This window comes from Homo sapiens, chromosome 12 (assembly GCF_000001405.40).
Source record: "Homo sapiens chromosome 12, GRCh38.p14 Primary Assembly".
Taxonomy (NCBI): Eukaryota; Metazoa; Chordata; class Mammalia; order Primates; family Hominidae; genus Homo; species Homo sapiens.
Window position 1 is genome coordinate 67,742,367 of NC_000012.12, and position 14,283 is coordinate 67,756,649.

The following is a 14,283-nucleotide window of genomic DNA, read 5'->3' on the forward strand; positions in this document are numbered from 1 at the left end:
TTAGCAGCTACCCTCGCCTCTACCTACCGGCTGCCAGTAGTACCCCCCGTCTTGAGTTGTAGCAACCAAAACCATCTTCAGACCTTACTAAATATTCCCTGGGGGACAAAATTGTCTCCATTTGACAACCACTGGTCTTTTACAAATGATAAAACATATGCACACTTAACACAAAGATAGCAAATGATGACTGACAGGAAAGAAATACAGATAAACAAACGCTGTAGACATTCACAGGAGGCAATAATCACTTTCAGCTGAAGGCTTGCTGGGCAAGGAAGTGTTTACATTAGGCCTTGAGGAATTCCCAGGATTTAGAAATACAATTAAGAGGGCATTCCAGATGGAGGAAACAGCAGATACCAAGGAATTGAGGTACAGATGGAGTAGTTAGGAGTTTTGTTGGAAATCACATCAGATTGGCTATTGGGGCAGATCCTGGAGGATCAGATCCTCTGATTAAGGAGGGCATATTCTGCAGTGATGGGGACACAGCACAGTGCCTTAGTTCTGACTGGGACAATCCCCTATGGGTAAACTGTAGGTAAGATGTATTGGAGGTGAAATTAGGATGTTGAGAGCTGGATGGCAGGGTTGCCATGGACAGCAGATTACCAAGAGAGTCTAAGGAGACATTGTGAGTGTCAAGACTAGGAGAATATGGACCTTAGAAACATTTCAAAGTAAACTCAAAAAGACTAGGAGTAAAAATGAAAGAGGAATCAAATACGACCTAGCTGTTTGAAGCTTGGAGGTTATTATTAATAGAAATGGAAACTGTTGGAGAAAAGGAAAGTTAAGATTAGAGGGAGATAAATTCACTTGGGTCATGCTCAATTTGAGATGCCAGCAGGATACAGTGGTGAATATATCGAGGGCATTGGAAAACCCATTTCTGAGGTTTGGGAGGGAGATCAGAGCAAGGGGAAGATTTTGGAACAATAGGCTCTCATGGCTGTTTCCTCCTCTCTCTGTCACTATTTCTTACTTTATTTTTCTAGCTCTTCTTTCTTTTCCTTCCTCTGAATCTGTTGTTACTTGTTACTTCTCTTTCTCTATTATTCTTTGAATAATAGTAAGAAGAAGAAGAATAACAGCTGTCATTAGGTAAGCAACTGTTACATTGCAGGCAAGGAACGGTGTTTCCTGATGTCTTTGTCCTTCCTCCCACCAGTGTGTTCCTTCAGCTCACCTCCAGCCAGCACATCAGCCTCTTTTATTCCTAGAAAATACCTTACTTGTATTGCTAGTCTCATTTAACCTCTTTATAACTATCAGGTAAGGTCAAACTTATTATTTCCATTTTCAGATAAGAAAATAAAGGCCCAAATATATTAGATTAGTTCCCATGGACCTGACTGGTAGGTGACACAGATGATATTCACACACTGATCACACACTGAGATTATTCTCTTTCCACTAGAACAGGTATGGGTAAATTACTGCCTGTGGGCCAAATCAGACCCCCTCACCTGCTTTTCTATAGCCTATGAGCTAATAATGGTTTTTACAGAAAAGAATCAAAGAATAAATGATAATGTTTTGTGACATGGGAAAATTATATGAAATTCAAATTTGTGTCCATTAAAGAAGTTTTACTGGGACACAGTCACACTCATTTGTTTGTGTATTGGCTGTGGCTGCTCTTGCCTTACAATGGCAGGACTGACTAGATGTGACAGAAATTCTATGTCTCACAAAACCAAAAATATTTACTCTCTGGTCCTTTGCAGAAAGTTTGCCATTCCCTGCTGTGTGCTCCTTCTGGGCAAGTCATTGAATCTATGGATTCAACTATTGCCTCTGTGCACGAACTCTCATGCTGGAATGAAACAGAAGAAAGAGGAGAAATGGCACCCTCCCCCACACCAAGTTATAATAGTCCCACCAATAAAATCCCAACAACGCAGACAGGGAACACATTACACCTGTCAAAAAAGTGGCAGAATCTGAAGCATGGTAGTCAGTGGAACCGGCCACAGTCATTGTGACACACAATTTATCAGTGTGTCTTTTTCTTTTCCTGAGGTAGTAAAAACATCATATATATTTTTCAAGATGCAAAATAAAAACCTATAAAATCTATGATGACTGAGAAAAGAAAATAAATCTTATTTCAATAAAGCTGGAGGGATTAGCAGATGCCCTGAGTGCCCCCACACTCAAAGCACAGTGTGTGGTATGAACTCATTTAAATAAATATTTGCTGAAAAATGAATGTATGAAAGCAGAAAGGAGGGGCTAACCCAATACAAAAATCAGCATAAGGGAAAATAATATTTAGGAGGTAAAACCCTGTATCAGGCCATTCTTGCATTGCTATAAAGAAATACCTGAGATTGAGTAACTTATAAAGAGAAGAGGTTTAATTGGCTCACAGTTGTGCAGTCTGGATAGAAAGCATGGTGCCAACATCTGCTTGGCTTCTAGAGGAGCCTCAGGAAGCCTACAATCATGGCGGAAGGTGAAGCAGGAGCAGGCACTTCATATGGCAAAAGCAGGAGAGAGGGAGAGAGAGAGAGAGGAGTGTAGGAGGGTAAGTGCCACACCCTTTAAATGACCAGATCTCATGAGAACTCACTCACTATCATGAAGACAGCACCATACTGTGAGGGATCCACCCCAGTAATCCAAACACCTTCTACCAGGCTCCACCTCCAACATTAGGATTACATTTTTTTTTTTTTTTTTTTGAGACAGAGTCTTGCTCTGTCGCCCAGGCTGGAGTGCAGTGGCTTGATCTCGGTTCACTGCAACCTCTGCCTCCCAGGTTCAAGTGGGAATTACATTTTAACATGAGATTTGGGGGCGGTGACAAATACCCAAACTGTATCAAACCCTATACCTGAGACGTTCCTTTTCTAAGAATAAAGAAGGTCAGTGAGCTGGAGATAAACCAAAGGTACATGTTGGTGGAGAGGAGGGAGAAGGACAGGCAGGCAGAAGGCAATTACAATCTCCAGTATTCCAAGAACACTCATGTTTCAGAGTTTCCAAAGCTTGCCTCCCAGGTGCTGAGCTTGCCTCTGAGTGCAGCTTCTAATTTTCCATTTATTTTTCCTTCCTTCATCTTCCTTCACAGAAGATAATTTGTTCACATTTTTTTTTGCAAATGAGATGACAGAATGCAATGCATATTCCAATGGCATACTTGAAGAGTTTTAGATCTTCTCTAGTTTTAGAATCATGTGTAAGCTGTTTTAGGGCCTATACATATTTGCTTCAGAAATGTATCATGAACATTAATTGATATTTTTCTATTTCATTATTGCTTTCGGAGAATTTGCTGCCCACTTTAATAACTGAAAATTTCTAATATAATTACTTAGTTATGGTTAATTTTTCTTAAACAAAATTGTAATCTTTTGCAGAATTCACTTTAAAAAAAGATATAATCAATTCATTGCCATGTTCTTAAAGATTGGGTGCCCAGCCAGCTTTTGTGAGGCAGAACAGACTGGAATCTTTTCCACCTGTACATCTTGACAAAGTTTTCTTTGAGTATATCTTCTTTCCTTCTTTTAAATCTATTATCTTTCGTTACCTATGGCCCTTCTCTGTCTGTTTCTCTTTACTCTGTTTTCCTTATTTCCTTAATGCAGGGACAATGCTATTCATCTCTACATCCCTCACATAGTAGTTGCTCAATAAATGCTTGATATAGTGATGGATGCTTTTGTTCTTCCTTTTTGTCCTCTTTCATCCATCTCCTTCCTCACACTCCTCCTGTTTTGCTCAGAGGGAATAATATACATTTACTAAGTCATAACCTTAGTCCCTTATATGATTCTGCTTTGCCAAAGAACTTTGTGCCCATCTGTTACCCATCTGGTTAGTGTCATCTTTTGGTCACACCAATCTTTACCCTGATGATATCCAACTTCCCTAGCTTCTAGCCCTAACCCAACACTTCCCAATGTATGTTCTGTGGAACACATTAATGAGATATTAATTTGTCTAATGTAAAAAACAATTTGTGATCAAATTAGAGAAATATGTTGTAAAACATTTAAATTATTTGTAGTGAGATTTTTCAAGTCTTTCAATATGCAAATGAGCAATGAGAATCTTTAAGAGCAGGTATAGAATGCAGTACTTTTTAGATGTTTGACCAAAGAATTTCTCTCCCTCTTCCCCCAACAAAGAACTTCTCAACGGACGCAATTTGCAAAATGCAAAATGCAAAATGTTTGTACTCCTCACTTAGGATACAGACATCTGCTGGACTAAGTTTATCCCCTGCCAGGAAAAGGGACTGAAATTGACATTGAAATTCAATAAGGGAATTAATATTTATTGAGAATCTCTTCCGTTGCAGACACTATGCCAGGAACTTCAAAAATATATATTGACATAATTTTCTCATTTAGTACATATCCTTCTGTTAATACTATGAGGCTGATATTATTCCCATTTTATAGATAGTGAAACAGTAGCTCAGTTGGTTAACCTAGCCATGGCCAACTAGCTAGTAGGTGGCAGACCCAGCATTCCAGCCTACATTTGTTTGAAACTAAAGCCAGAACATTTTCCTTTCCACTTGGCTGCTTGAGGAACTGTGGCAACTATCAGCCAACCTATCTCATATGTAACAGTAAAAATAGGCACAAACACAATTTTTTAAAATTAAAATTTATTTATTTTAGAGATAGAGTCTCACTTTGTTGCCCGGGCTGGAGTGCAGTGGCCTGATTATAGCTCACTCTAACCTTGAACTCCTGTGCCCAAGTGATCTTCTCACCTCAGTCTTCTGAGTAACTGGGATTACAAGTATGTGCCACCATGTCCAGCTAATTTTTTAAAAGATTGTGTAAAGATGGGCGTGGGGGTGGGGGTGGGAAGGCAGAGGGTGGACCTGGCTATGTTACCCAGGCTGGTCTTGAACTCTGGCCTCAAGTGATCCTCCCATCTTTGTCTCCCAAAGCACTGAGATTACAGGCATGAGCCACCACATCTGGCAAAAACATGACATTTAAAAAGTTTTAGACCAATTTTGCATAAGGAACTAAGAGAACCAGGCAAGACTACTGGGTATGGTTGTGCAGATTGTACACTGCACCATTCGAGGGGAAGCCATGTGACTGGCACCCCCTAAAATAAAGTGCTGTCTTCAACGTCAGCAGCCATATGTGCAGCTCTGGAACAGGAACAGATTGGGAAAGGTAGCCAGGTGCCATGGTACTTTGAGTTTTCAGATGCAAATATAAATTTTGAGCAAGAAATTAGGACAGAATGGCAACCAGTTTTAGGAAAATAATATATGTAAAAACTCACCTCGAAACAGGTAATCAAAACTTGCACATAGTACAGTATTGGCAAGAGAGGACTGGTACATCCTGATAAGCCAAGAGTTTGGAGTCACTTTTTATTATATTCATAATCACTATGTTCCTAATATCTATGGATTCACTCTCCTCCCTTTTTTTTTCTTTCTCCTTTTTTCTTTTTACCATCTTCTGTCTTTTCCAGATGTTTCATTTGAGCTGCTCTGCTCCCCACTGGTGGCTGAGCCAGGCCTGACCAGGGCAGGAAGGGTGATCAGTAGCCTCACACACAGCAGCTGGTAGAGTCTGAAGGTCACGCTTGGCCTTCCACCAAGTGTCCAATGTGCTGGGGATTAGCCTCTGAATCACAGCCTTTCCCTTCTCCTGCCATGTTGGCCCAGCCATACAAGAGGCTCTCTCTGCCCAGCACACAAGTCCCTTGCTGTGACTGGCATTCTGCTGTGAAAACCAGATTACTTATTAGACTTTATCTTCAGTGAACCTTTGACTAACTTCTGCATGGGACTGGAATATGATCTGCATACCTTTCATTACTGGCCAAGATTTTCATTGTGCATATTGGAAAGCATACAGACTTTGGTGTCAGATACTCAGAGGAACAAAGTCCAGCCTTAACAATTACTAGCTGTGTCACCTAAGACAAATTACTCAACTTTGCTGGACTTTGCCCTTCTCATCTATGAAAGGGCGTATTAAGGAATGGCTCACATGAAGGATATCATCTATATGGGTTTGTATTACTCCTCCCTTGTTTTTCTGAGGAGGTCCCATGGAGTAGATATTGGTTACAGTGTTTTCAGTTGCAGGAAATGGTGACTCAATTCAAAGCAATTTAAACAGATAGGATATTTCTTGGCTCATACAAAACAAAATCCAGAGGTAGGACAGCCACAAATCTTGTTGATCCTCCTGCTTAATTATGTCATCAATAAACAATGGTCCCTCTGTCTCTCCACACAGCAATCCACAAAGAAGACTTCATCCTAAGGTAAATGCTCTACTTAGTAGTATGGTTGCTTTGAGTAACAATTGGTGTCATGTGCTTCTCTGTTCACTTCCAGAGGGAAAATCAACATTTCTCACTGATCTTTGGAGCCCAAGTTCTTCCTGTTCATTTCCTTGGACCAATTTAAGTCATATGCTCTTCTTGAATCAATAATTTTAGTAGGGAAAGGCTAGATGCTGACTGGTCTAAGTTCCTGAACCACCACTGGTTAATGAATCACCATGATTGACTAAGACCAGTAAAAACCATTCCTAACTGTATTGCAGGTATCTAATGTGGAAGGGGTGGGGTGAAGGTTGAAGAATCAGACTGTACAGGGTGAAACGCTTGAGCTTTGGTTTATATCCCTACCTGGCAAGTACCAATGGGGTTACAATTTCTGAACTGCAATTTATCCATCTAGAAATGGGGGATAAAAATAGTACCTCTCTCACTGGCTAGCTTCACAAGATTTGTGACGCCCTTAGCCCTGAGCTTAGCAAATTGTTTACAAATTCTAGGTGTTATTATTTCTTTATATGCCTAGAAATGTGGTGCCACTTGCTATATTTGTTTGTTACTTGATTCCTGGATTCCTACCACGGACTCCTCTGCACCAGGGTTGCTGAATTCCATCTGCACATTTCATGCCCTCTCTACATTGTACCTCTGACAATTCAGTTGCTCATGAAGGGTTGACTGGATTAGTCATTAGTCCCTTCTCTCTTTCAGTACTGCCCCATCAAATCTAGACTTAAAACTCTTAAGTCCTCCCCAGTGACACAGGGTATTGAGGTCCCAGCTTGCTTTGTGCCAGGGTGTGATGGTTGGTTTTGGGTATCAACTTGACCAGATTAAGGGACACCCAGATAGCTGGCAAAACATTATTTATTCTTACTACTTCAGTAGGCACTGAACTTGTTCCTCAAAGCCAGGTGACTTGGAGTTTGGTTAAATGATTGGGCTGCCCGAGGTGTGAGGACGTTTGCAGAGGAGACTGGCATGTAAGTCAGTGGGCTGAGTGGAGAATATCCACCTTCAATGTGAGTAGGCACTCTCCAGTTGGCTGAGGGCCTAGATGGAACAAAATGGGAGGGGAAGGATGACTTCTTACTCTCTCTTCCAGAGCCAGGATGCCCATATTCTCCTGCCCATGGAGGTTAGACCCCAGATTCTCCCATCTTTGGACCCCAGCACTCACACCAGTGGACCCTTGGGCTCTTGGACCTTTCGCCTTGAACTGAGATTTACACCATTGTCTTCCTTGGTTCTAAGGTCTTCAGACTTGGACTGAGCACACTGCTGGCTTCCTTCATTCTCCAGCTCGCTGACAGCCTATCATGGGACTTCTCAGCCTCCATAATCAAGTGAACTAATTCCCCTAATAAGTTCATTTTCCCCTCTTTCTATATATATACATATCCTATTGGTTCTGTCTCTCTGGCAAACCCTGACTAAATCACAGAGCAAACTCATATTTTGATAATTTTCTTGGTAAGCAAGAAATAATAAGTAATGATCATGAACAACTAGCTTGGCAACCAGGGACCTCTATCTATGCCAGAACTAAACATCTCCTATTGTTCTCATTGCTAAGATGCCTACTACCCACAAGTGAATATTTGCGTGTGACACCTGCATTTAGGCTAGACCTACTTTATTCACATCCGAAACAATATCATTATTGCATTGCTTAGAGTCTTGTTTCTTCTTGGAGATAGTGTTGTCAAATATTACATATCCTCACCTGTTTTTAAATTCCCATGGGTTGTACCACTTCTTAAATAGGGTCTTCCTCTTTTGCTGTGTCACTGTTATCTTGAAATATCAAACAAATTTGGTATTACTTTTTCCATTTACTTTCTTTGATAGCATGCACAATTTTTTTTTTAGTCTAGCCAGTAATGTTCTGAAAGATGTAGTGAATTCCATAGGTTTGTTATGTTCTCATATTTTACTTTCTAATCCTTTGTTTCTCTTTCTTGGTCCTCCCCATGGTAGCTTGGAAGTGACACACAACTGCAGCCCTTTAAAAAAGTAGACTGTGCTTGTGGTGGTGAACAGCTCATGACAATGGCTCTTGGCTGTCCAAACCATTCTAAGAGGATATGGTGTCTAGTCTGTTGTGAAAGTCCAGGGAGACCCAAAGGCTACAGTGGCAGTTTCAAGCTGGCATATGGATAGGCGTAAAGGTTACAAACAGATGGTAGATGGAGTTAGAAGCAAATATTTTCATTTTCAAAACAGCAGACACAGCACCAGGCACCTAAAGGCAGTGTTTCATATTGCAGTGGGGGAAACTTGAGCTCAGTGGCAGGCTTTGGCATCACCCAAGAGGAGTGGCGAGCTGTCCACAAAGGCAGCATTTGGAAGGGCAACCCTCTCCTCCCTGGGCCACATTCACAGATGTGCACTGCTGGCGGAGACCCTGCTGGCTAGGATGTAGGTCTGGGAGGGAAGTGGTGTCCTGAGGGCCCAGCCTTAGGACACTTACCCAGCCACAGGACTGGGCTTTAGTCACAGATCATATACAGAAATGGCACCAGACAAATGTTGAAAAGAGAATATCTCTCCCCTCATCCCCAGAATTTTGTCTTAAAGAGTAACACATGCTACTTGTACGTATGAAGGAGAAATACCAAAACCTAGGTGACAGTTACTGCTGAATTATCAGAAGACCAAAGAGAGGGGGGATTTTACTCACCTTAACCTACTGGTGTTACTTTCTCCGCTTTATACTGACTTGTGTGCAGCTGCCCCCAGGAAGCATGATGGTCACCTAGAGTCCAGTGTTGTTTAAAAGAATCACAGCTGCGTACTTTGATGTAGACAAAAAAGAGAGAGTTGAGTACAGTTAGGGCAGCTGTGTGCATGCAGTGCGTGTGCACATATGGGAGACACACTTCTCAAAAGGAGACTGTAGACAACACAGCCCTCTTGTGATGAGAACAGCATGGCCCTTTTGCTCGGCTTTCTTTGAGGCTGTGCTGTAAGGGTGCTTCTCTTTCCAACCCTGTTGGAATCTATAAACTTTCTGGGACCTTGGTCCTTGGCATGTCTGCCTGGGGGTTTTTGCTTAGAGGATACTGCTGCTTATCTTGCTCACTCCTGATGGCTCACAGTCTCTTTCTGCTTACTTTTGCATCAGGGCTGAGCTTCTGTGACTCCTTCGGCCCTCCAGCCACTGCGGAAGTTATAAGCCCTCAAGAGACAGCAGAAAGATTAAAGGGATGAGCCTCTGAAATTGTATGAATCTGGGGCTTTGGGGAGCCGAGCTTGATTTACATTGGAGCTTTGCTGGAATCATTTCCCATGGACATATTCAGGAGGCTGTTGGAGGCTTCCACTGCCCTCCTCCTTTTCAAGGTAGCTATTTCAGAAAGTTAATTAACCTGGGATAGTTCCCTCCTTTGGAGCTTGAGAGAGACCCAGAATTTGTCTTTTTAAAATGACCCATATCCTGGAAAATGGGGAAGACAAATCCTCATCTTCATCCTCTTTTATCTTAGTAGGCTCATTTTTTTCTTCAACTCACGATAATAATTTAACTCCCCTCTTTTAGATTTATTAACGTACATATTTATTAGTTGCTTGTTTTGTACAAATTGCTATGTTAGGGACTCTGAAGAATATAAAGAAGTAGAAAACTCGGTCTTTGACCTCAAGGAATTTGCAATCTTAATGTGATTATAAAACTTGAAATGATAACTGACACATTTTAGACTATGTTAAGTCTCAGATGACTGGAATAGGTGACAAATGCCGTAAGAATTTCAGCACATATTTCCCTCTCTCTCATCTTTGTCTTTAGAGTTAAGCAGTGTGAGTCTGAATCTTGAGTCACACTCCTGTGTGACCTTGGACAAGTCACTTGTCCTTTCTAAGCCTCAGTTTTTCATCTGCAAAAGGGGAAGAAATAATGCGAGCCTCTCAGGAGTTGACTGAATTAAATAATGTATAAAAAGCATTTAACACCTTCCCTTGCACATACGAGTGCTCAATAAAAACTGTTATTATTGTTAGTTACCTAGCAATTTTATGTACTCCTCAATGCTGTGAGTAGACATATGAGAGAAAGCTCACAGATACTGACTGCATGGCTAATATAACATTTTCAGACTTTTCAGTGATGTCTGCCTCTATGGAGCTGAAACAATATTTAAACTCTCAGTATCCCTTGCTTTCCACTCTCTCCATGGTTTAATCACTAAAATAAATATGGGGTAATTAAATAAGTTGACCCAAGGCTATACCAAATGAAGTGACCCAGACCCTGGACAGCTATCGATAAGGACAGAGTCAGAGGGGAGAGGTGGCAATCCTAATAGAGGAAAGATATTTCATAAAGCCAGCACCAATCCCTGCATTCATGGAGGGTGGTAGGAGAGAAGGAACATACAGGAGTTCCTAAGTCTTATTTTAACCTGTTGCGTGCCATGTTATATTTCTGTTCCTTAATTTAGTAGAAAATCTTTTTTTTTTTTGGTGACAGAGTCTCGCTCTGTTGCCCAGGCTGGAGTGCAGTGGTATGATCTTGGCTCACTGCAACCTCTACCTCCCAGGTTCAAGCGATTTTCCTGCCTCAGCCTCCTGAGTAGCTGGGATTACAGGTGTGCACCACCACACCTGGCTAATTTTTGTATTTTTAGTAGAGGTGGGGTTTCATCATGTTGGCCAGGCTGGTCTCAAACTCCTGACCTCAGGTGATCCACCCGCCTCAGCCTCCCAAAGTGTCGGATTACAGGTGTGAGCCAATGTGCCTGACCAAAAATCTTTTTATCCTAACACTTGTAAGTACTGATGCCCCAGGAATAGGGCCTGTGAGGACACAGATTATGAATGCTAACAGACATAGAAGTAAAACTCTCCCTTCCTATGCTTTAAAACATCCCTAAAACTCACCACCACTGTCTTGCTCAGTGCGGGCTTGGTAACTAACAGCTTCATGGGAAGATTTCCTTTTGCCTTTGAAAAGTGCTCTCCCAGTGGCTTTGAGAAATAGCTGATTCCTCTCCCACAGGCCAGCGGTTCCCTTTTCCCACAGGAAGCCCGCAGCAGCAGCAGGTGGGAAGCCAGGGAACTTTTGAAAGCTGATTCTGTTTGTGCTTTACCTATCGCTCCCTTTGAAGGTACTGTGGAAAAGAGAGCCCATAATGGAGGTTCTAACAACTCTCCAGTTAGTTTTAAAAATGATTCAGCCTATGAAATTGTTTCCAGGCCACAGGGCTTTTCCCAGCTCTTCCTAAACTGTGAGCTCAAAGCAAGGACAGCAAAGGACAGAGCTCAGACAATGCTCCCAGTCTGTTTCTGGGAATGTGCTGTCTCCTCTTAGGCAGAACAGTTTACTCGGAACCTGTACTAATCTTCAGGGCTGGTTTATTAGCATGCACCCTAAGGCCTTTCACCTGGCAGCCAGAAGGGCATTTAGTATCAATACAGCATCCCCCATTTAGGTGTTTAATATGATATCCAAATGAACTTCTAGCCAGCCAGAACTATGGGGATCCAAGGACAAGACCAAAAGATGTTTATATATCATTAAACTGGTGACCCAGTAACAAACCACACCATCCAAAGAGGGTGAGTGTGTGTGTGTGTGCGCACACACAGAATTATACAAATTTCACGTGAATAGCACAATCATATTACACTGTATTTTGGAGGGCTTCAAGGTATTCAATTGTTTAATGCTGATGTATAAATCATCTCACAACTTTTGTAACTTTGATTTGGCATTCTTCATACACACACAATACACACACACACATACACACATACATATATATGTGTAGTATGCTTGCAGCCCAGAAACTGAGAGTGACCTAGGACTGCTTTTTATGTTTAAGAGGCCTGGTTGTGCAGCAAAAATCACAGCAAGTCTGAATTATGCTGACTATAAACTAAGAATACAAGGTACCCAATATGGCAAGTACAAGGGTATTTACGGCAACAAGAAGGCACATTAATCAAAGTGGGAACTGTTTTGGAAATTTAGATGGAACGCTGTCATAACTATAGATGTTTGGAAATTTCTTCTGGAAAGTGAAGCTCACTCTAACACCAGGGAGACTTCTCATCATCCCCCTTTTCCTCAGCATTGGTAGGTCATTTTAATCTCTTAAAAATCACGTCATTTTGCATTCATCCATTTCTCATTTCACAGTGCCTACTATGCACCAGATACAGTGGATGTAAAAGCAACTTGTACGTTGTTTGGTTCTATTAAACATTAATGATTATTATTAAGAGTTTAGTACAGACTTCATCCAATGACAGCTATGGTATGGAGTTCTGCAAATCTCAGAGACTAGATCTAGTAGTAACTTGAAATCGGGAGTGTCAATATTCTTAGGTGAACCTAATCAAACGTGAACAGGGAGGACTGCATCCCCGAGTTGAGGACTGCAGTGTTTGCTGCCTAAGTGCACGGGGCTGAGCGTTTGGCTCTGAGAGGTGTTTTGGAAATATTTGAATTGGCCTGAATTCTCACCTATGAGGCAAGACTGTGCACTCTTGATGTAGACTGTTTGCTGTGGTTGCAGTTGCCGACCCTGCTCCTCTCACTTTAAAAGATATGCTTGGAGAGGCTGTTCTCTCCTTGTGTGTGTGCCAAAGGGACACCTTCAGCAGCAAAGAATTTGAAAGCAAGTGTGTGTGTGTCTGGGGTGAGGGGAGAATGAGGTGGGGAAGAAACCCTACTTCTCTGATCGAGATTCCAGGGAGGAGATAAAACGCCCTTTAAGAAAACAAGAAATTAGCCATTAGTTCTACAAAGATGCATTTCACCAAAGGAGGAACTTCTCTTTGTTCAGGGGAAATACTTTTTTTTTAAAAAAAGGTCCTGATTCCAGTTGTTGCCCAAGTCAGTTCCTAATTACGACTGACTGTGGCATAGACCTCTGTGAATCCCCTGAAGTGGTTAGTGAACTGAAACCCAACTTTTAAGAAGATTTGAGATCAAAAGTATAGTTTTATTAAGTCAACTTAAGATTACATGTTCTGGAAAAAGGCATATTGAGTCTGTGGATAAGAAATAATAATTACATACCTGAAGAACCAAAAGGAGAAGAAAAGGGGACTGGTTGATTTATCCCATTACAGATGCAGTGTCTTCTAGCTAATCTTCATTTCTTTTCTTTTCTTATTTGGTCTGCTCTGCCCTCCATGGGGTTATTCACCAAAGAGTGAATTGTGTCATGCACTGGGGTCTCATGAAAACTAGAGATAGAAAACCTAATCCTAAATTCTTCTCTTTGAAGAAAACACCTTTCTGAAAGGCTTCTCAGGAGATGCAGAGAGCTGTGGTTTTGAGTCTCTGTATCGGAGCCATTCCCCTTCTCCCTCCCACTCTCTAGCCTCCAAGTTTCTATGGTGATATTTCCTCTTCACAGTGATCAGTAGTAGTAGTAATAATAATAATAATAATGCAATGTTAACAGAAGAAGCAAGCAGTAATAACTCAGGGCTAAAGAAGTCTTCATACTAAATAATTTTAAACCTACAGAACAACTTCAGCTTTACCTCCTGAGATGCTATCTTGTAGCAGGACATTTTTTTTCTTTTTTAATTTTGCATGGTATAAAGTTACTAATTATGTAAGTTGAGAATTAGACATATATCCAGTTTCCATTATCATCCTACAGAGAAACAGAACGCTGAATTCTAGTGCCAAATGTATCATTTAGAGTGCAACATCAGTTCTTCAAAGAAAAGCATTATTTCTTGGGCTGGGGAAGAAGCAGTGAAAATCACAGTTTACACGAACCATTTGATCACTGTCTAGGTTAAAATGGGTCATTCTCTACCTTTGCTGAGTTCACTTAGGAAAAAGAAAAGAAAAAGAAAATGGGTTTTCTCCTGGTTTTGTTATTGCTGTGATGTTCCTTTCTTTGCCATGCTAATGGCTTCCTGCGTGTGTGTGTGTGTGTGTGTGTGTGTGTGTGTGTGGCTATTAATTCACTCACTTGCACTTTGTGTCTGTAGCATGCTTGTCTAATCTGTGTCTACCTCAGA